The sequence below is a fragment of the Homo sapiens genome, chromosome 1, assembly GCF_000001405.40.
Source record: "Homo sapiens chromosome 1, GRCh38.p14 Primary Assembly".
NCBI lineage: Eukaryota > Metazoa > Chordata > Mammalia > Primates > Hominidae > Homo > Homo sapiens.
This window is the reverse complement of record NC_000001.11, coordinates 69,801,895-69,824,951: the sequence shown is the minus strand read 5'-3', so window position 1 is coordinate 69,824,951 and position 23,057 is coordinate 69,801,895. Positions and strand designations below refer to the sequence as shown.

The 23,057-nt window shown below is 34.9% G+C and overlaps 1 protein-coding gene across 10 annotated transcripts in view; it reads right to left on the bottom strand.

Moving 5' to 3' along the window:
• The window catches only part of LRRC7 (leucine rich repeat containing 7), a 576,443-nt gene that overhangs the window by 319,413 nt on the left and 233,973 nt on the right, over positions 1–23,057 (bottom strand). The window lies entirely within an intron of this gene.

The window sequence follows — 23,057 nt, the reverse complement described above, 5'->3', positions numbered from 1 at the left end:
TTGACAGAAATGGATCAATGTAGTAGGCCCTGCAAAAGTTAGAAGGGAAGAAGCTATATGAAGCTGTTATTATGCGATATGCCTGCAGTACCACTTTCTCTCAATTTTTGAAACTATTATCAAGGATGCAAAAATTTTCAAAAAGAACTGGCCTTTCCCAGTACTTCATATCTGACAGAAGGATAAGGAACACTTTGTGGCAGGATATAATTGAACTTTTTGATGATGGATACTCAAGAAACAAAATATTCCACCTTTTTAGATTTCATTCATCTAGAATACCATGTCCACAGGACTTCAAAGCCCTTGAAGCAGCAGGGTAGTCAAATCCAGGACAGGTCACTTATCCACTGCCAAATAGGGGTACAAAGGGGTACAAAGTGGGGTTTGCGATGTTTCTCACGCCATTTCTCTCTATTTAAAATTTCACCAGAAATCATGCGGTCCTAAAATTATTACTGAACTATTCTGACTTCTAAATAAGAGCCTCCAAAAGTTTGGGAGCTCCATTGTGTATGAATTTAATGAAAAAGCCTGTTTCTCTTGTTTTTGGAAGGCCGAAACACCTAGAACTTCTTCCATTAAATAGTCACTAAAAAAAGGCAGCCATGTCAATAATCTAAGTTGTGAATTATTCTTAACATTTTCCCATAAAATTCTTTAAATATCTTCAATGGACAGTAGTATAAATTTCTCCTTTTCTCCGTTTAGCTTTTTCTGTTCACTCTCCAATCTGGGCTCATTGCATGCTGCTATACATGATGCCTTATCACCACAGGTCCCTGTCTTAAAATGGTATATGCTTGAATTACGTGTAAATCAGGACATGGAGGCAGAAGTGAATTAAAATATGATTTTAAGAAAAAGATGACGTCTCTTTATCTTCTACTGAAAATGGAATTGCCTACTGTGGTGAAAATGGTGCTATATTATTTGTTTAAAAATTTGTATTATATTGTTTACAGTTTAAATTTAAAATAATTCAGAGCACAGTCTGTTGGCTCGAGATGGAATCCTAGCTATATACCTTCTGGCTGGTAGCCCTAGGCAAGTCTTTTAAACTCCCAATGCCTTAGTTTTCTACTCTGAAAAATAGTGATTATATGAATGGTTTTATCATAGAGTTGTAGTGAGGATTAAAAGAGATTATACAGAAAAGCAATTGGCACAAAGTGCTGTAATAATGCTATCTATAATTATTAGAAATAAAAAAGAATCAGAGGATGTAAGTCAAGAAAAGAACCAAAAACATATCAAAATTATCTGGCTTCAGGTATAAACGTATAAAATTTATCTACCTTAGAGAACACAGGAAAAAGAATTAGTGTGCTGAAAGAATATAATATAATATATATACTGTGAATATATACATTATTAATGTGCGTGTACGCACACACACACACTTTTTTTCCCACACACACACTTTTAAAGCTGCTGTTCTTTGAAGACCCAAAAGTGCCAGACATTGTGCCAAGGTTACAGACATAAAAAATGGGATGAAAAAGACTTCATGACATTTTTCTTAAATTGATGTTCTAACTCAGAAGAATGATTGAAAGAAAAACTATAGAAGAATCAAAAGATAAATGTGAAGAAGTCTTCTAGAAAATGTGGTAACATTAGGCAAAAAGACAGTAAAGATGAATTTATAATAGTTGAGACATTTTAGTATCTGAGTAATGGAAGTTCAAAGAAGAGTAAACTGAGAACACAAAAGATAGAAAATACGAAAGGAACAATTCAAGAATATTTCAGTAATTTCAAACAATGAATAAGATTATTTCAGATTAGAAAAGCTCACTCATTCAAGGAATATCGAGGATTAAGAGGGGAGAGAAAAATCAGGTTTCACACAAAGGATCAAAATCTAGATGACATTTGACTTCTCAAAAATATTTGGAATAAGAAAATTATACAGAACTATATCCAACTTCTGAAGGAAAATGATTTTCAACTAAAATCCTATACACCACCAAACTAATATTCCAAAACTATGAAAATGAGTGTGGAATAAAGATATTTTCAGTGACATAAGCAAGATGGCAGAATAGGAGTTTTCTAACATCTCACAGTTTACTGATTTTGGCAACCACCTGCAGATGAGAGTATTTTTGTGGGAGTTTGGGAGTCCAGCGGACAAATTCCAGCATATCATTGGAGCAAAGCTTATGAGAGTAGACTCATTGAAGATAGTACGGAGAATAGTTTCATTTTACCCATTTCACCCCACCCTCAAGCTAGCACAGCTCAATGCCAGGAGAAACTCCTTCAACTCACAATTGTCCCCACAGGGGAAAGTAAAAATATAGTGAGTGAGGCTTGCCCAACTGTGTGGGACATTGTCTTAGAGGCCTACCTCTTTCTTGCCCCACTTAGAATACTGAGGGCATCAACAAGGCTGAGTGGCTGGGAAAGGCTAGGAGCTGGGAGGAGAGGTACGGACTGTCAGCAACCAATGTTCAAAACTTAACAAAGAGCTGTATATTCTACTATTCTCCAACACAAAGTTTGCCCATGACCTGTTCGGTATGCCTCACCTGTGGACCACCATAACTGATTCATAGGTCCTCCCAACACGTTGTGTTTTTCAGCCTCCCTTCTATAACTGTAGCTAGCTCCTTTCATGTGCCTGACAGAGAGTGTGAGCACTTGCCGTTGTCTGGCCAGCATACACAGCCAGCCACCTTGAGTTTGTGGGATTGGGAGAAGGAACACAAACTTTAGCATTTCAGAGCATTGCCTAAAAAAACAAGTGAGAGACTCCCAGCACACAGCCTGGCTTTGTGGGACTGAGAAAGGGCAAGCAATCTTAAGAAATTCTGCCCAAGAGGAAACAAAATAGGTGGAGCAGGCACATCCACAGCAAAAGTCTGAGAAAGACTCAGAATCCATCATCTGGCTGACTGGTGAAGGTGTTTCTCTCCTGAAGCAAGTCAGTAAAGACTGAAGGAGGTGACAGCTTCTTCAAATGCAAAGACAACAATACAAGACTTCCAGGAATACAAACAAAACAAAACAAGGGAATATGACACCACCAAAATAACACAATTTTTTTTTTTGACAGAGTCTCGCTCTGTTGCCCAGGCTGGAGTGCATTGGCACAATCTCAGCTCACTGCAACCACCACCTCCCAGGTTCAAGTGATTATCCTGCCTCAGCCTCCCGAGTAGCTGGGATTACAGATGCCCACCAACACACCAGGCTAATTTTTTGTATTTTTAGTAGAGATGGGGTTTCATCAGGTTGGCCAGGCTGATCTTGAACTCCTGACCTCAGGTAATCCACCCGCCTCAACCTCCGAAAGTGCTGGGATTACAGGCGAGAGCCACCATGTGAACACAATTTTCTAGTAACCAAACTGAAAGAAATGAAGCTCCATTAATTGCCTGACAAAAACATCAAAATTAATATTTTAAGGAAGCTAAGTAAGCTACAAGAGGGCACAGATGGACAAATCAATAAAATCAGGAAAACAATGAACAAAACAAGAAGTTAAATGAAGAGATAGAAATCATTAAAAAAATCCCAGAAATTCTGGAGCCGATGAATACAATAAATGAAATGGAAAATGCAATATAGAACTCCCACAGCAGACTTGATCAAGCAGGAAAAACAAATGCTAAATCGGAAACAGCCCATTTAAGATTATCCAGTCAGAGTAGAAAAATGAAGACAGAATGAAAAGGAATGAAGAAAGCTTATGGGATTTATGGGACACCCTCAAGAGAAATAAAATAAGGATTATAGAAAACCCAGAATAAGAAGAGAAAGTACATAACACTTATTTAAAGAAATACATTTATGTAGCCAACAAACTTATGAAAAAATGCTCATCATCACTGGTCACTAGAGAAATGCAAATCAAAATCACAGTGAGATACTGTCTCACACCAGTTAGAATGGTGATCACTAAAAAGTCAGGAAACAACAGATGCTGGAGAGGATGTGGAGAAATAGGAATGCTTTTACACTGTTGGTGGGAGTGTAAATTAGTTCACCCATTGTGGAAGACAGTGTGGAGATTGCTTAAGGATCTAGAACTAGAAATACTATTTGACCCAGCAATCCCATTACTGGGTATATACCCAAAGGATTATAAATCATTCTACTATAAAGACACATGCACATCTATGTCTATTGCAGCACTGTTCGCAATAGCAAAGTCTTGGAACCAACTCAAATGTCCATCAATGATAGACTGGATAAAGAAAATGTGCCACATATACACCATGGAATACTATGCATCTATAAAAAAGGATGAGTTCATGTCCTTTGCAGGGACATGGATGAAGCTGGAAACCATCATTCTCAGCAAACTAACACTGGAACAGAAAACCAAACACCACATGTTCTCACTCATAAGTGGGAGTTGAACAATGAGAACACATGGACACAGGGAGGGGAACATCACACACTGGGGTCTGTTGGGGGGCTAGGGAAGAGATAGCATTAGGAGAAATACCTAATGTAGATGACAGGTTGATGGGTGCAGCAAACCACCATGGCACGTGTATACCTACATAACAAACCTGCATGTTCTGTACATATACCCCAGAACTTAAAGTATTATAATGATAATAGTAATAAACTATAATATCAAATACCTAAAATGTGTGTATGTGCATGGGGATGTGTGGATTTTTTATAAGTGATCAAAGTTAAGTTATTATCAGCTTAAAATAGTGTTATAACTATAAGATGTTATAACATAGCCTATGTTATAATGTAGCCCCATGGTAACCACAAAGCAAAGACCTATAGTAGATACACAGAAGATAAAAATAAATAATTTAAAACATACCACCATATAAAATTAAATCACAAAGGAAGAGAGCAAAAAGAAAGAACAAAGAAACTATAAAACAATCAGAAAAAAAATCAACAAAATGGTAATAGTAAGTCCTTACCTATCAATAATTATTTTAAATGTAAATAGGCTAAATAATCTAATGAAAAGACATAGAGTCATTGAATGGGTGAAAAAAACATGACCCAACTACACGTGCTTGAAACAAACTTTAGGGACTTATGTAGGCTGAAGGATAGAAATAATATTTCATGCAAATATAAACCAAAAGAGAGCAGGAGTATCTGTACTTATTTCAGACAAAATAGGCTTTAAGTCAAAACCTGTCACAAGTGACAAAGAGGGTAATTATATAATGATAAAAGTGTCAATTCAGCAAGAGGATATAATTTAAATATATATGCACCCAATATCAGATAACCTAAATATATGAAGCAAGCATTGACAGACTGAAAGGAGAAATGAAATAAAATATAATAATAGTAGGGACTTCGATACCCTGCTTGCAACAGGGTAGATTATGCAGATACACACACACACACACACACACACACACACACACACACAGAGAGAGAGAGAGAGAGAGAGAGCATTCCATTCAACAGCAGCAGAATACACATTAATCTCAAGCACACATGAAATATTCTGCAGGAAGATTATATGCAAGGCCACAAAATAAGTCTTAAAAAATTTACAAAGACTGAAATAATATCAAGTATCTTTTCAACAGCAATGATATATATAAAACCAGAAATCACTAACAAGAGGAAAACTGGAAAATTCACAAATATGTGGAAACCAAATAGTACCATCCTGAGCAACCATTAGGTCAAAGAAGAAATCAAAAGGAAAATTAAAAGAAAATCTTGATACAAAAAAAAATAGAAATACAACATACCAAAACTTATGGGATTCAGCAAAAGCAGTTTTAAGAGGGAAGTTTATAGAAATAAATGCCAAATTAAGAACAAAGAAAGATCTCAAATAAACAAGCTAACTTTACACTTCAAGTAATTAGAAAAATAAGAACAAACCCAACAAATATCAGAGCAGCAGTAAATGAAGCAGTGACAAAAGAAAAATCAGAAAAGATCAATGAAACTAGAATTTGTTTTTTTTGAGAAGATAAAATTGACAAGCCTTTAGCTACAGTAAGAATAAAAGGGAACCTACTTAAATAAGTAGAATCAGAAATGAATGAGAAGACACTACAACTGTTACTACAGATATACAAATCATGATAAGATACCACTACAAGAAATTATATTCCAACAAACAACTGAATAATCTAGAAGAAATAAATTCTTATTGATATAGAGCCTGCTTAGACTGAATCATGAATAAAAAATTTGAACAGACATAACTAATAAGGAGATTGAATCAGTAAACAGAAATCTCCCAACAATGAAAAGCCCAGTACCCTATGACTTCACTGTGAATTCTACCAAATGTTGAAAGGAGAATTAATATCAACCTTCTCAAACAATTGAAGAGAAGGGAACACTTTCAAATCCAATTTCGAAGACTAGCATTACCTTGACACCAAACCCAGACAAGAAACAACAAAAAAAGAAAATTACAGGCCAACATCCCTGATGAACATATGTGCAAAAATCCTCAAGGAAGTACTAGAAACCCCAATACAACAGCACACTAAAAGGATCATATACCATAGTCAAATGGGATTTACCCTGGGGAGGCAAAGATGGTTTATCATCCACAAATCAATAAATGTGATACACCACATCAAGAGAATGAAGGATAAGAATCATATGATCATTTTACTAGATGCAGAAAAAAGCATTGAACAAAATCCAACATCCTTTCATAATGAAACTCTCCACAAATTAGGTATAGAAGAAATGTACTTCAACACAATAAAAGCCACATATGACAACACTACAGCCAACATCATACTCAACAGTGAAAAGTTGAAAGCTTTTCATCTAAGAACAGGAACATGACAAGGATGATCACTCTTGTCACTTCTATTTAACATAGTACTGAAAGTTTTAACCAGAGGGTTAGGCAAGAAAAAGAAATAAAAGGCAACTAAGTCAGAAAGGAAAGCTGAATGGTCCCTCTTTGTGGATGCCAGCATCTTATATATAGAAAACCCTAAACAATCCACCAAAAACTATTAGAACTATTAAGCAAATTTAGTAGAGCACAAGTTACAAAATCAACATTTAAAAGTCAATTTTGTTTCCATACACTCACAACAAACTATGTGAAAAAGAAATAAAACAATGCTTACAATAATGTGGGAAAGAATACCACACTTAGAAATAAATTTAACTGAGGTGAAAAATCTGTATCACTGAAAACTTCAAAATATTGATGAAAAGATTGAAGACAAAAATAAATGAGAAGATATCATGTATTCACGGAGTGAAACAATTAATGTTGTTTAAAATTCCACACTACCCAAAGTAATTCACAGATTAAATGCAATTCCTATCAAAATCCCAATGACTTTTTTTACAGAAATAGAAAAAATAATCCTAAAATTTATATGAAATCACAAAAGATTCTGAGTAGCTAAAGTAATTTTGAGCAAGAAGAAAAAGCTGGAAGCCTCACCTTTCTTCATTTCAAATTACATTACTAAGCTATTATAATCAAAACGGGCTGATATTGGCACAAACACAGACTTAGAGATCATTGGAATAAATTAGAGATCCCAGAAAAAAAGCCACATATATATCAATCAACTGATGGTTAACAAATGTACCAAAAACACAATGGGGATAGTCTCTTCAACAAATGGTGCTGAGAAAACTAGAAACCCACAGGTAGAAGAATGAAATTGGACCCTTATCTTAGATAATACACAAAAATCAACCCAAAATGGATTAAAGACTTATATATAAGACCTGAAACTTTAAAAACTTATATATATATATAAGACCTGAAACTTGAAAACTTCTGGAATAAAAAGTAGGGGTAGAGCTCCTTGACATTGGACTTGGAAATGGTTTTTTTGAATGTGACACCAAAAGCACAAACAACAAAAGCAAATGTAAGCAAGTAGGACTATACAAAATAAAAAGGTTTTTGCACAGCAAAACCTACATACATATAATATATGTATATCTTATCTACACATATAATATATGCACATAGTATATATGTGCACAATGAAATATTATTTGGCCTTAAAGCATAAGCAAATCCTCCTATTTGGAACATCATGGATGGGCCTGGAAGACATGCTAAGTGAAATAAGCTAGACATAGAAAGACAAATATGGCATCACATCACTTATACGGGGAATCTAAAAAAGTCTAATTCTTAGAAACAGAGTAGAATAGTTGTTACCAGGTGCTGGGGAGTGCGGGTAATGAGGAGGTGTTGGCCAAAGGGTATGAGCTTTCAGTTATAAGATGAACAAGTTCTGGAGATCTAATATATACTATGGAGACTATAGTTAGTAATTATACTGTGTTGTATACTTGAAAAAATAGTTATTTTTTAAATTAAATAGAAAATGGAAGTTAAATATTTACATTCTACCTTTCAGTTAAACATAGTCAAATGCCAACTGTGAAACAAGGACACTGTCAAAAATGTTTCAACACCTTTTTCACTGGGACACTTCAGGCCTTCCACTAAAATATAGAGATAAGAAATGCCCATAAAACCATGCAATTGCTAAAACAACTTTTGGAGAAGAAATACTGGCTGCAGATTTGTCAGAATGTTCCTGCTACGGTTTGAATATTTGTATCCTCCCAAGTTCATGTGTTGAAATCCTAACACCCAAGGTGATACGTTTTTAAGAGGTGAGGCATTTTGGAGATAATTAGGTCATGATAGCAGAGCCTTCATGAATAGGATAAGTGCCCTTATTAAAATGGCCCCCGAGGCTGGGCACAGTGGCTTGCGCCTGTAATCCCAGCACTTTAGGAGGCTGAGGCGGGCGGATTGCTTGAGGTCAGGAGTTCGAGACTAGCCTGGCCAACATGGTGAAACCCCGTCTGTACTAAAAGTACAAAAATGAGCTGGGTGTGAGGGCGGGCACCTCTAATCCCAGCTACTCAGGAGGCTGAGGCAGAATTGCTTGAACCCAGGAGGTGGGGATTGCAGTGAGCTGAGATCATGCCACTGCACCCCAGCCTGGGCGACACAGCAAGACTAGGTCTCAAATAGTAAATAAATAAATAAATAAATAAATAAATAAATAAATAAATAAAGGTTCTAGAGAGCTGTCTTGCTCCTTCCACCAGCTGAAGACATAGTGAGAAGGGGCAAGTCTGCTCCCAGTGGTCTTTTTAATAAGAACACTATGGGCCATATGCCAATTGAGGTACTGTCTATGAGGAACAGGCCCTCATGAGATAGATTTCCCAGTGCCTTGATCTTGGATTTCCCAGCCTCCAGAACTGTGAGAAATAAATGTTTGTTGTTTATAAGTCACCCAGTTTGTAGTATTTTGTTATAGCCCCCTGAACAGACTGAGAAAGAGCTTCTTGAAGTACATTTTTTGTTTAAAGCCATATTCTCTAAGTTCAGAATAATTTTGATAAGTGAATGGCTGTCATTGAAAGAGCTTTTTGGTGTCAAGCCTAGCTGTTTTGGGGACTGTGAAGGGGGATCAAGCTGTGCTGCACATTGGGATCCCTGCCAAATAAATGACATTTCCTAAGAACACAGAATTTTTTAAAGTTGCCTTGTTCTTACCAAACAGGTGGAAGGGTATTCCAAAAAAAAGACACAGCCAACCTTCTGAGGATACTAAAGAGAAAAGCTAACAAAATTTTAAACTTAACTGAGCTGAAAATAAGCTGTCTGATTGGAAGTAATAACCTCCTAGATTTTTTTAAAAGATATTTTCAGATGTTCAAGTTCCCCAAATTTTTATTTTGCACACACCGTTTTCCAAAGATCTTCTGTAGGATGTTTGTCACCAAAATGATGTATTAAGGAAGAAATGTAACCAGGAACCAGATGGTCCAACATAAGAGAGGCAAAGGGAATCCCCAGAATGATGGTGGAGGTTTCACAAGGCAAAGGCTCACAGCAGGCCTGGAGAGCACACAGTCTAGATTGCATCAGTTCAAAAAGCTCCTAGAGAATTTTTGCCCAATGAGCTATAAGTGAAAGAACAACTAATGTGTTTGAACATATTGACAGGAAATTTACGCAGCTTAGGGAGAGTTCTGGGTTGGACTGATAAAAAAAACCTCACAAAAAGCTAAGCAATAAAATCAACAAAACAAACATTAAATTCAGGAAAAACAAAATGTGGCAAGAAAGTAAGAGTATGCTTTTGTTTCAGCTATTGAGTCGATGGAGTTTATGCTCAGCAACATTTTTGCTGAGGCTTTTGTGGTTATCTTAATTTGCTTAATTTCTTGGAACACATTTAGAAAAGTAGGTTACCAGTGGCTCTTCACCATGTATATTAATATATGAGTTCTAGAGTTTAGGGAAAGTTCTTTGAGCATATCTTCACCTAGGAGTTCAACCCAAACACAGAGAAATAGTAGTAGTTAAAAGTGTAGTGGTTAAAAGCACAGGTTGGAAAGGTGACCAAGTACCAGTTTTGTCACTTAACTGAGCATTTAATCTTAGATGGCATTATAATATTTGAAAGAATTAGTCATTTCTTGTTGAATTCAGAGGGTTATTCTGAGTATTTGATGATATGAATGTAAAACACTGAGTATCATGTCTGGCTCTTAATAAGTACTTGAAAAATTCTAGATAAAATTATAGTATGAATAAGAATTTTAATTAATAAGTATAAGGTAACTTACACTTCACTTTGTCACTGTGAAAAAATCATTTAATTCTTTCAATAATTTTGAAGCTGTATTAAGCAATATGATTTTCATTTTTCAAATGAAGAACCACACATTTACAAGAGTAGAAGTTTTATTTAAATATCTAATGGGTGTTTACAGATGAGAATAGATATATATGGGATTTAATAAAATTTTCAAAACACGATATCTTTTTTAACCCATTATGCAACCACCTGTTGAAATTGTTAGATATGTCATTAGACAAATAAAGCCCATACTTTTATTAATCAACCTTTGTAATCTTCTGTCTGGTCCTCAGAAACAACTGTTTTCAATTTATAAAGAAATTCGTATGTACATATATTTACTTATAAATGTTATATATATTTGTTGTATATATACATATGCATGCTTTCTAAGATATAACTTTGTTTTGATTTTTACATTTATTCATTCAGACATGGAATAAATGGCCTTACTTGAGCAATATATCTTATTCCAAACATTCTGACTTGTGATTAAACAGGGTCAATAATTTGTAGACCACGTAATCCAAGCTCTGATCTCTATTTTTCAGCTGAGATATCACTAAAAATTTCTATCACAGGCCCACAATGAACTCTCTTCTAAGGGAACCCACAAGTTCACTTCTTTTGATTTCCCTGGAGACCCAAGCTTATTATATTTAGGTTATATTCAAACCTAGGCTGAACAACCATTTACAGTAAGGACTGTATTCTAAAGTAATTATATGGGAAGCATTATGTTTTATAGGCAAAATGGTATATTTAATTTAAAAAATGGAAAATTGCCGTATTCACAAATAGCAAATGAGACATGCTTCTTCTCTGAAGTGAGCTTTAGTTTTTTCAGAAGAGTAGGATTAGTAGTCATGAAGATGGGAAAGGAGGTATGGATGGTTTAAAGCCAGAGAAGATATGAAATTGTCCCCAGAACAGAGGGAGAGTCAATGGACTAGGGAAGTATGAAATGATCACTGGTAAGCCTCAAGACTGCACTTCAGATTTGCAACCATGAATTCAATCAGTTGGTATGGTTGAGTCTTTTTGCTAGTTCCTTTCAGCACTACTTAGAGAGTTGAATTCAGCCAGGGTTGTAATTTTGCTGAGCAAGCAAGCACAGTGACATGAGAGAGAAGAAAGGGTGTCAAGGGGGTCCACAAGGGAGTAATCTGATAATTGACTATAGAATTTGAACCATATAAAGAGGGCAGAGAAAACATCGATGTTGTGGAGAAGTGCATGAGAAGATGCCAATATAATGGATTGGTGGTTCTGATGGGGTAAAAGATGTTTGAAGATAGGGAGGGTTCTGGAAATGGGAGAATGGGGTCAGATATTTGGGGTTATGGATTCATCAATTGACACTCAATTTCTTGATATTCCTGACAGTACCTAAGTTAATGCTAGGAAAACAATGGAAACTCAGCCATTGCTTGTTAAATTGCATCTAGTTACAGTTTCGCATCAATAGCTTGAGGTGATGATCTAAAACATCTACCATACAGACATAACATACTTCTTAACAAATACCAAATTTTGAATGATTTAGTGTTCTCTCAAGTGCATAAAAATTGTTTCTTATAAATTTTTGTATAAATCAATACACATATAATAGGAATAATGCATATTGAATGCTTATGTTTTCTGAATTTTACACATATCATCAGCCCAAATGGTTTACTCTGTGATATAAATGTTATATGCTAATAAAGACAAAAGTCCTAATGATACCTCTCATATGAAATAAAGACAGGAAACATGTTTATAAGATTTCAATATCTACATCTGATATTTTAATTGCTAAAAATTTTTTGTAATTTTATTTTTCAATTTTGAGAAGGCAAGTCAGATATTAGTATACCTATTAAATTAGATTAAACTTAAAGAATAGAAAGAACAGAGGGTTCTTTCTATTCTTAGAGAAAGAGAGAATGTAATAAGCACTTTATTCCATCTGCACAATAATTTTGTAAAGTGATTCATTATTCCCATTTAACTAATGAAGAAACTGAGGCTCAGAGGTTACCCAGGGTTTGAAACTAGGCCTAGCTTATTTCAAACGCTATCATATTAACCTGTGTTAAACTGCTTCCATCAAATCTAGGATTTAAACTACGTTGGGATATAAGTTTTAGCTACACAAGACTGGCGATGCAGCATTTATAACATTTGTTCCATACGTACTCTTCAGGTCAAATACAAACAACCTTAACTTTCTGGAACTCCGTGTTTAAAGCACAACCAGGGTTGACTATGTAGCATCCTTAAAGCATCATTGTAAGCTCCATTTGTTCTATATTTTTCTTAGGCCAAATTTCAGATAGTATAAACTTTCTGGCTTTTTTGAGTGTTATGCTCAGGTAACAAAGTCCTTTATTTCTGAATCATTTACTGAGGCGAAGCACTGGAAACTTAGTTCATAGTCTTTGTACTCTTTTTTTAAAAATTTTTTATTATAGTTTAAGTTCTGGGATACATGCACAGAATGTGCAGGTTTGTTACATAGGTATACACGTGCCATGGTGGTTTGCTGCACCCATCAACCTGTCACCTACATTAGGTATTTCTCCTAATGCTATCCCTCCCCTAGCCTCCCAACCCCCAACAGGCCCCTGTGTGTGATGTTCCCCTCCCTGTGTCCATGTGTTCTCATTGTTCAACTCCCACTTATGAGTGAGAATATGCGGTGTTTGATTTTCTGTTCCAGTGTTAGTTTGCTGAGAATGATGGTTTCCAGCTTCATCCAGGTCCCGGCAAAGGACATGAACTTATCCTTTTTTATGGATGCATAGTATTCCATGGTGTATATGGTCCACATTTTCTTTATCCAGTCTGTCATTGATGGACATTTGGGTTGGTTCCAAGTCTTTGCTATTGTGAATAGTGCCATAATAAACATACGTGTCCATGTGTCTTTATATTAGAATGATTTATAATCCTTTGGGTATATACCCAGTAATGAGATTGCTGGGTCAAATGGTATTTCTGGTTTTAGATGCTTGAGGAATCACCACACTGTCTTCTACAATGGTTGAACTAATTTACACTCCCACCAACAGTGTAAGAGCATTTCTATTTCTCCACATCTTTTCCAGCATCTGTTGCTTCCTGACTTTTTAATGATTGCCATTCTAACTGATGTGAGATGGTATCTCACTGTGGTTTTGATTTGCGTTTCTCTAATGACCAGTGATGATGAGCTTTTTTTCATATGTTTGTTGGCTGCATAAATGTCCTCTTTTGAGAAGTGGCTGTTCATATCCTTCACCCACATTTTGATGGGGTTGTTTTTTTCTTGTAAACTTGTTTAAGTTCCTTATAGATTCTGGATATTAGCCCTTTGTCAGATGGACAGATTGCAAAAATGTTTTCCCATTCTGTATGTTGCCTCTTCACTCTGATGATAGTTTCTTTTGCTGTGCAGACGCTCTTCAGTGTAATTAGATCCCAGTTGTCAATTTTGGCTTTTGTTGCCACTGCTTTTGGTGTTTTAGTCATGAGGTCTTTGCCCATGCCTATATCCTGAATGGTATTGCCTAGGTTTTCTTCTAGGGTTTTTATGGTTTTAGGTTTTATATTTAAGTCTTTAATCTGACCTGAGTTAATTTTTGTGTAAGGTGCAAGGAAAGGATCCAATTTCAGTTTTCTGCATATGGCTAGCCAGTTTTCCCAACACCATTTATTAAATAGGGAAATCTTTCCCCATTGCTTGTTTTCATCAGGTTTGTCAAAGATCAGAGGGTTGTAGATGTGTAGTGTTATTTCTAAGGCCTGTATTCTGTTCTATTGGTCTATATATCTGTTTTGGTACCAGTATCATGCTGTTTTAGTTGCTGTGGCCTTGTAGTATAGTTTGAAGTCAAGTAGTGTGATGCCTCCAGGTTTGTTCTTTTTGCTTAGGATTGTCTTGGCTATGTGGGCTCTTTTTTGTTTCCATATGAAATTTAAAATATTTTTTTCTAATTCTGTGAAGAAAGTCAATGGTAACTTGATGGGGATAGAACTGAATCTATAAATTACTTTGGGCAGTATGGTCATTTTCATGATATTGATTCTTCCTATCCATGAGCATGGAATGTTTTTCCATTTGTTTTTGTCCTCTCTTATTTCCTTGAGCAGTGGTTTGTAGTTCTCCTTGAAGAGGTCCTTCACATTCCTTGTAAGTTGTATTCCTAGGTATTTTATTCTCTTCGTAGCAATTGTGAATGGGAGTTCACTTATGATTTGGCTCTCTGTTTCTCTGTTATTGGTGTATAGGAATGCTTGTGATTTTTGCACATTGATTTTGTATCCTGAGACTTTGCTGAAGTTGCTTGTAAGCTTAAGGAGATTTTGGGCTGAGACGATGGGGTTTTTTAAATATACAATCATGTCATCTGCAAAAAGAGATAATTTGAGTTCCTTTTTTCCTATTTGAATACTGTTTATTTCTTTCTCTTGCCTGATTGCCCTGGCCAGAACTTCCAATACTATGTTGAATAGGAGTGGTGAGAGAGGGCATTCTTGTCTTGTGCTGGTTTAAAAAGGGAATGCTTCCAGTTTTTGCCCATTCAGTATAATGGCTGTGGGTTTCTCATAAATAGCTCTTATTACATTGAGATACATTCCATCAATAGCTAGTTTATTGAGAGTTTTTAGCATGAAAGGCTGTTGAATTTTGTTGAAGGTCTTTTCCGTATCTATTGAGATAATCATGTGGTTTTTGTCATTGGTTCTGTTTATGCGATGGATTACATTTGCTGATTTGCGTGTGTTGAACCAGCCTTGCATCTCAGGGATGAAGCCAACTTGATGGTGTGGATAAGCTTTTTAATGTGCTGCTGGATTCGGCTTGCCAGTATTTTATTGAGGATTTTTGCATCGATGTTCACCAGGGATATTGGCCTGAAATTTTCTGTTTTCTGTTGTGTCTCTGCCAGGTTTTGGTATCAGGATGATGCTGGCTTCATAAAATGAGTTAGGGAGGAATCCCCCATTTTCTATTATTTGGAATAGTTTCAGAAGGAATGGTACCAGCTACTCTTTTTACCTCTGGTAGAATTTGGCTGTGAATCCTTTTAGTCCGGGACTTTTTTCGGTTGATAGGCTATTAATTATTGCCTCAATTTCAGAACTTGTTATTTATCTATTCAGGGATTCAACTTCTTCCTGGTTTAGACTTGGGAGGGTGTATGTGTTCAGGAATTTATCCATTTCTTCTAGATTTTCTAGTTTATTTGCATAGAGGTGTTTATAGTATTCTCTGATGGTAGTTTGTATTTTTGTGGGGTCAGTGGTGATACCCCCTTTACCATTTTTTATTGTGTCTATTTGATTCTTCTCTCTTTCTTCTTTATTAGTCTGGCTAGCAGTCTATTTTGTTGATCTTTTCAAAAAACCAGCTCCTGGATTCATTGATTTTTTTTGAAGGGATTTTCATGTTTCTATCTCCTTCAGTTCTGCTCTTATCTTAGTTATTTCTTTTGAATTTGTTTGCTTTTGTTGCTAGCTTTTGAATTTGCTTGCTCTTGCTTCTCCAGTTCTCTTAATTGTGATGTTAGGGTGTCGATTTTAGAACTTTCCTGCTTTCTCCTGTGGGCATTTAGTGCTATAAATTTCCCTTTAAACACTGCCTTAGCTGTGTCCCAGAGATTATGGTACATTGTGTCTTTGTTCTTATTGGTTTCAAAGAACTTATTTATTTCTGCATTAATGTCATTATTTACCCAGTAGTCATTCAGGAGCAGGTTGTTCAGTTTCCTTGTAGTTGTGCAGTTTTGAGTGAGTTTCTTAATTCTAAGTTCTAATTTGATTGCACTGTAGTCTGAGAGACTGTTTGTTATGATTTCCATTCTTTTGCATTTGCTGAGAAGTGTTTTACTTCCAATTATGTGGTCAATTTTAGAATAAGTGCAATGTGGTGCTGAGAAGAATGTATATTCTGTTGATTTGGGGTGGAGAGTTCTGTAGATGTCTGTTAGGTGCGCTTGGTCCAGAGCAGAGTTCAAGTCCTGAATACCCTTGTTAATTTTTTGTCTTGTTCATCTGTCTAATATTGACAGTAGGGTATTAAAGTCTCTCCCTATTATTGTGTAGGTGTCTTATGTCTCTGTGTAGGTTTCTAAGAACTTGCTTTTTGAATCTGGGTTTTATTAACCTAATGCAAGGAAGCTAAGAACCTTGAAAAAAGGTTAGATGCATTGCTAACTAGAATAACTAGTTTAGAGAAGAACATAAATGACCTGATGGAGCTTAAAAACACAGCATGAGAACTCTGTGAAGCATACACAAGTATCAATAGCTGAATTGATCAAGCAGAAGAAAGGACATCAGAGATTGAAGATCGACTTAATGAAGTAAATCATGAAGACAAGTTTAGAGAAAAAAGAATGAAAAGAAATGAACAAAGCCTCCAAGAAATATGGGACTATGTGAAAAGACCAAACCTTCATTTGATTGGTGTACCTGAAAGTTACAGGGAGAATGGAGCCAAGTTGGAAAGCGTGCTTCAGGATATTATCCGGGAGAACTTCCCCAGCCTAGCAAGACAGGCCAACATTCAAATTCAGGAAATACAGAGAACACCACAAAGATACTCCTCGAGAAGAGCAACCCCAAGACACATAATTGTCTGAACCACCAAGGTTGAAATGAAGGAAAACATGTTAAGGGCAGCCAGAGAGAAAGTTCGGGTTACCCACAAAGGGAAGCCCATCAGACTAACAGTGGATCCCTCGGCAGAAACCATACAAGCCAGAAGAGAGTCGGGGGCAATATTCAACATTCTTAAAGAGAATAATTTTCAACCCAGAATTTCATGTCCAGCCAAACTAGCTTCACAAGCGAAGGAGAAATAAAACCCTTTACAGACAAGCAAATGCTGAGGGATTTTTGTCACCACCAGGCCTGCCTTACAAGAGCTCCTGAAGGAAGCACTAAACATGGAAAGGAACAACCGGTACCAGTCGCTGCAAAATCATGCCAAAATGTAAAGACCATCAAGGCTAGGAAGAAAACTGCATCAACTAACGAGCAAAATAACCAGCTAACATCATAATGACAGGACCAAATACACACATAACAATATTAATTTTAAATGAAAATGGGCTAAATGCTCCAATTAAAAGACACAGACTGGCAAATTGGATAAAGAGTCAAGACCCATCAGGGTGCTGTATTCAGGAGACCCATCTCACGTGCAAAGACACACATAAGCTCAAAATAAAGAGATGGAGGACTATTTAACAAGCAAATGGAAAGCAAAAAAAGCAGGGGTTGCCATCCTAGTCTCTGATAAAACATACTTTAAACCAACAAAGATCAAAAGAGACAAAGAAGGACATTACATAATGGTAAAGGGATCAATGCAACAAGAAGAGCTAACTATCCTAAATACATATGCACCCAATACAGGTGTACTTTTTATATGCAATTTGACCAATAGCTATTGGAGCAAGTAAGAAGAGATGCCTCCTTAAAATTGTCTGAGTATCAGCCTGAAGCAATTATAGCTGATGGTATCATTTATAGAGAAGATGATGGAAAAAATGACAAAGCTGACACCAGGAATCTTCATGTCTACCATTCTTATTTTGGTGTATAGGCAAACAGCCACATACACTAAAAAGAAAGTTCAATACCAAACTCATAATGAACTCAAGTCAACACAGATATATTAAATTTCATTGATTACACTCATTTAACCATGGTAATGCAATAAGAAACATTGCTAGGATAATTTATGACCACAGTGATTAAAACAAAATTAAAAATGGGGCAATACTCTATTGAGTAGGAAGTGCAGATTATAGGGAGATTTCAGAAGGGAAACAAACATATTGTATACTAGAAGAAAAAATAGGCAAGACTCTGCCTATTTTAGTAGCATTGTAAAGTGAAAAACCAAATGCTGGTAATCAATAGAGAGAGTCATACGACTGATTCTGCCTTACAAACACATCTGAGGAAAATTTTGAGGAGTGCTTATGACCTTGGCCAACAGTAAGTTCACATGGGAATGAATTTGACTTTTAGTCTAAATGAGTTAATTTAAGTGACACTTCAATTCCTCTTGTTCTCGCTCTCTTTCTCTCTCTCTGCTTCAACAACAAACACATTGAGTCTTTTATGTGAAATGAACTGTTTAATAATCTTGCTTCATACTCGACAAATGAATTTTTCCTTCCTTATCAATTTACCACTTTATTGAGCACTCACTATGCCTGGACATCGATAGGGGCTATTGTGGATCTAGAAACAAGGTAACGTTCATTCTTGTTTTCAAGGAGTTTACACTGAAGCTGCAAGGTAGCATGGCATTGTAGAGGAAGGACTCACAATGCTTCATTGCCCATTTAAGTTTGCTCTTTTAATTTTTTTTTAAGGATCTACTGAGACATGGAAGACAGGTTCATCACTTAGCTCTGCTGCAACTCTAGGAAAATTGATCAGTTTATGTAAAAGAGCCCAAGACAGATTTCAAAAGGGTGAGGAAGTGTTCTTCCTTGTATTTAGTACATAACCAGATTGTAAGTTTTATCTCCCATGGAATAAGTGCTAGTGAAACACATAAGGCATTATTTGTTTATTTTATGTCCTAATGAAAATATTAGAAAGAGTTAAAAGTTCCAGCATTAAGCTGAAAAGGTGGCAGGAGGAAATGATAATAATAAAAAAACCTAGGTTTTGTTACCATGATGTTCTTTAATGGAAACAGAAGGAGTCAATCCTCAGTTTACTTTAACACCATAACCCAGAGGAGAAGTAGATTCTGTACAAAGGGAAGGTAGTCTTAAAGTGAAAGAAGTGCTAGTGATCACATTTCAGATAAATAACTCATTAACAGTGTTGAAAGTGAGATATTTAATAGAATAAAATAATGAGCTTTACTCTAAATAAATGGTGTAATGGTTTGCCAAACACCAGAGAACACATTTATTGCTTATTGAGAACAATTGCATGGTACCATTTTCTCCCTGACACAAGGCGTCACAGAGTAGACCCCTTTATGAATTTATAATGTATACACTACTAGAGTCTCAAGAGTAATGTGCTCAGATGTTTAAAGATTTCTATCATTTAACTGATTACCCATATATGCTTTTTCTAGCCTATTTGAGAGAAAAAAAGTCCGCCTCCTATCCTTCAAGTAGAGGATATGATTTGTCTTCAGTGTTTTGCATGTATTTGAGGGAAGGGGTGGAATAGTTGGCAAGTTGGTAAAACACATAATAATGCCTTCAATTCTGATTGCCTTTCATGATAACTAACAATAATGATTTTTTTCCCACTATGATGCTGTGCAAATCCATTCTTGTATAGAAATAAGTTTTAGTGGATGAGAGAAAAATCACTTAATTGCTGCAGAATTAGAAGCACTTTCAAATTAATTCATTTTCATTAAAGTCCTTAAATTATAGTGTCGTAGTCTCTATAAAGCAATGACAAATCAACAATCAGACTTGAAATAGAATCACTGCCTAATTAAATCTTATAATTCATTATGGTGCTTTATCATACAAAACAAAACAATTTACTTCATTATGACCAGGTATTGTCTCCACAAACATGCATGGACTACTTATTTAGAAATCATAATATCATGAAATGTATTCATCTCTGATGCACATAGGAGTTTTATTTTACTGTTGAATTAAGATGAGAGGAATCATGGACAAAAATTCATTGGCATAGAAAGCTGATGCATTTACTTATAAATTGCTGCATATAATTAGGGAACAAAAAGAATTTAGAAAGGAAGAATAATTTACATGCAATGTAGATATTTATATATTTCCTCTAGATAGCTGGCTAGCTAACCAGGTTTTAGTAAAACTAACCAAAATTTCTTTAGAAAGTTCAATGTTAATATACTTATTTTTTCAAAGAAAGAATATCTTTTACTGAACATAAGAGATCAAAACTTCATTTTCCAGTTCATTTATTTCCAGCTCATTAGGTGTTTTTAATGTTCCAAGAAGGTAAATATTTCAAGTATTGGGTACTCTCAATGTTCCAGGTATGTAAAAATCATAAAATGTGGTATTTGTCTTAGAGAAGTTTATAATGTAATGGAGAATAAAGTGTACAATTAGTAGATCTCTAGCCTATACCTAATAATAAAAGAATATATATTTTTATTACAAGCAAGAAGAAACATTTGAAAAATTAACAATATACTTGGCCACAATGTGAAAGGCAATAACTAATAAGAACTCAGTATCATCAAAACCATGTAGTCTGCAATGTATTTCAATAAAAACAACGGTGAATAAAAAGGTCCCAAATGTATTAGAGCACCAGAAAACAATTTAGTAAACCATAAGAAAGTAAAAGAAGGGACATAATAATGATAGCTGCAGTAGAAAGTAGAAATTAATGAGTTGGAAAACAAACCAATAAACAAACCAAATAATAGAAAAGACCAACAAGCAAAAATAGTACTATTTGAGAGATTAATAAAGTAGAAAAACCTCTGGAAAAGTTGCTAAAAAGACTAAAAGATAAATGGTGTGAAACAATGTTAGGAATGTAATGGAGAAAACATTCACAGATGTAGTAGAGATTTATGAAAGAGAAAACTGTGGATAATACGTGAAAATAAATTAAAAAAACAGTATGATGAAGTAGATTATTTCCTAATTAGATTGTAATTTATGAAAAACGGACTCAAGAAGAACAAAGGTATAGGATTAGAAAGAAAGGATATTGTCACAGGTAGATAAAATGATTTTATAATAAAGACGCAAAAGAATCTGCTGGTTGCATATTAGAACTTACATTCAGCTCTGTAGCTCAATGTAAAATCAAAACATCAAAATTAGTAATGTTTCTACATAGAATCAACCAAAATTAGAAAATGCATTTCTTAAAAAGTGATACAATTTGTAAAGCTAACAACTTAAAGTACTTAAACATAACTCTAACAAAATGTGTACATATTCTTGATGGAAGTCACAAAGTTTTATTGAACAACACATAGTAAGACCTAAATGAAGGGAAATACCATGTTCATGAATTACAACTTTTACTATGCCAAAGGTATCAACACTTCCCAAATTAATCTTTCAATTAAAGCCAATTTTTAAAATTCCAATAGATTATGTACCTCAACAAGTTGAACCTAATATTCTTGCGGAAGAATTCAGTATTAAGAATGGCAAAACACTTTTGAAAATGAAAACCAAAAAAAAGTGGACTTGTATTTTCAGATATTAAGACTGAATATTAGATTATAGTGATTAGAACAATGTTGTAATAGCACAGGAATCGGCAAATAAGGCAATGGAGCAGGATGAATAGTTTGGGGAAAAGCTTTTTGTATATAAAAGAGGTAGAATTACAAGTCAGTGGGGGAAACAAAGGACTACACAATGTTGTTGAAACAATCAGTCATCTATTCACATGGGAAAAGATAAATTTTGATCATATAGAGCATAGAAATAAACTGCAAATGAATTAAATATCCAAATGTGAAAAGAAAAACAAACAGTTTTAGAAGAAAACATAGAAAAATATCTTTGTGATATTAGAGTAGGGAAGATTTTCTTAAATAATTTGTAAAATTATGCAATAAAGAGTAATATGTTTTACTACATTGAGAGAAACAAAGAACCACAAAACCAGATAAAAACATTACAACAGGAAAAACAACCTCACAAATCAATATTAATCTTGGATATAAATGAATCAAATGTTCCTTTAAAAGACATAGATTAGTAGTATGGATTAAGCAACATGAATTAACTATATGCTGCTTATAAGAAATTCACCTTACTGGTAAGCAAAGACACTTACAAACTGAAGGTAAAGGGATGAGAAAAGATATTCTATACAAATGGAAACTAAAAGAGAGTAGGAGTAGCTATACTTATGTCAGATAAAACAGACTTTAATCAAAAACAGTGAAAACAAAAGAGAAACATGTCATTATATAATAAAGGAATCAATTATAGAAGAAGATGTAATAATTCTAAAAATATATGCACTCACCACTGGAGCGCCCAGATTTATAAAACAAACATTACTAGACCTAAAAAAGATATAGATGCAATACAATAATAGTGGGGGACTTCAACACCTCACTCACAACACTTAGATTATTGAAAATAGAAAATCAACAAAGAAACAGTGGACTTAAATTGGACTTTAGACCAAATGGGCCTAATAGACATACAGAACATTTGATTTAACAACAGCAGAATATATATTCCTCTCATCAGCACATGGAGTATTCTCCAATATAGATAGACCATATGACAGGCCATAAAACAAGTCTCAATAAATTTAAAAAAAGTGAAATCATATTAAGTATATTCTCAGACTACAGCGGAATAAAACTAGAAATCAATACCAAGGAAAACTCTCAAAACCACAAATAAATGGAAATTAAACAATATACCCCTGAACAATGTTTGGTCAATAATGAAATTAAGACAAAAATTAGAAAAAAAAATTTTGAAATGAATGAAAATGGAGACACAACCTACCAAAACTTAC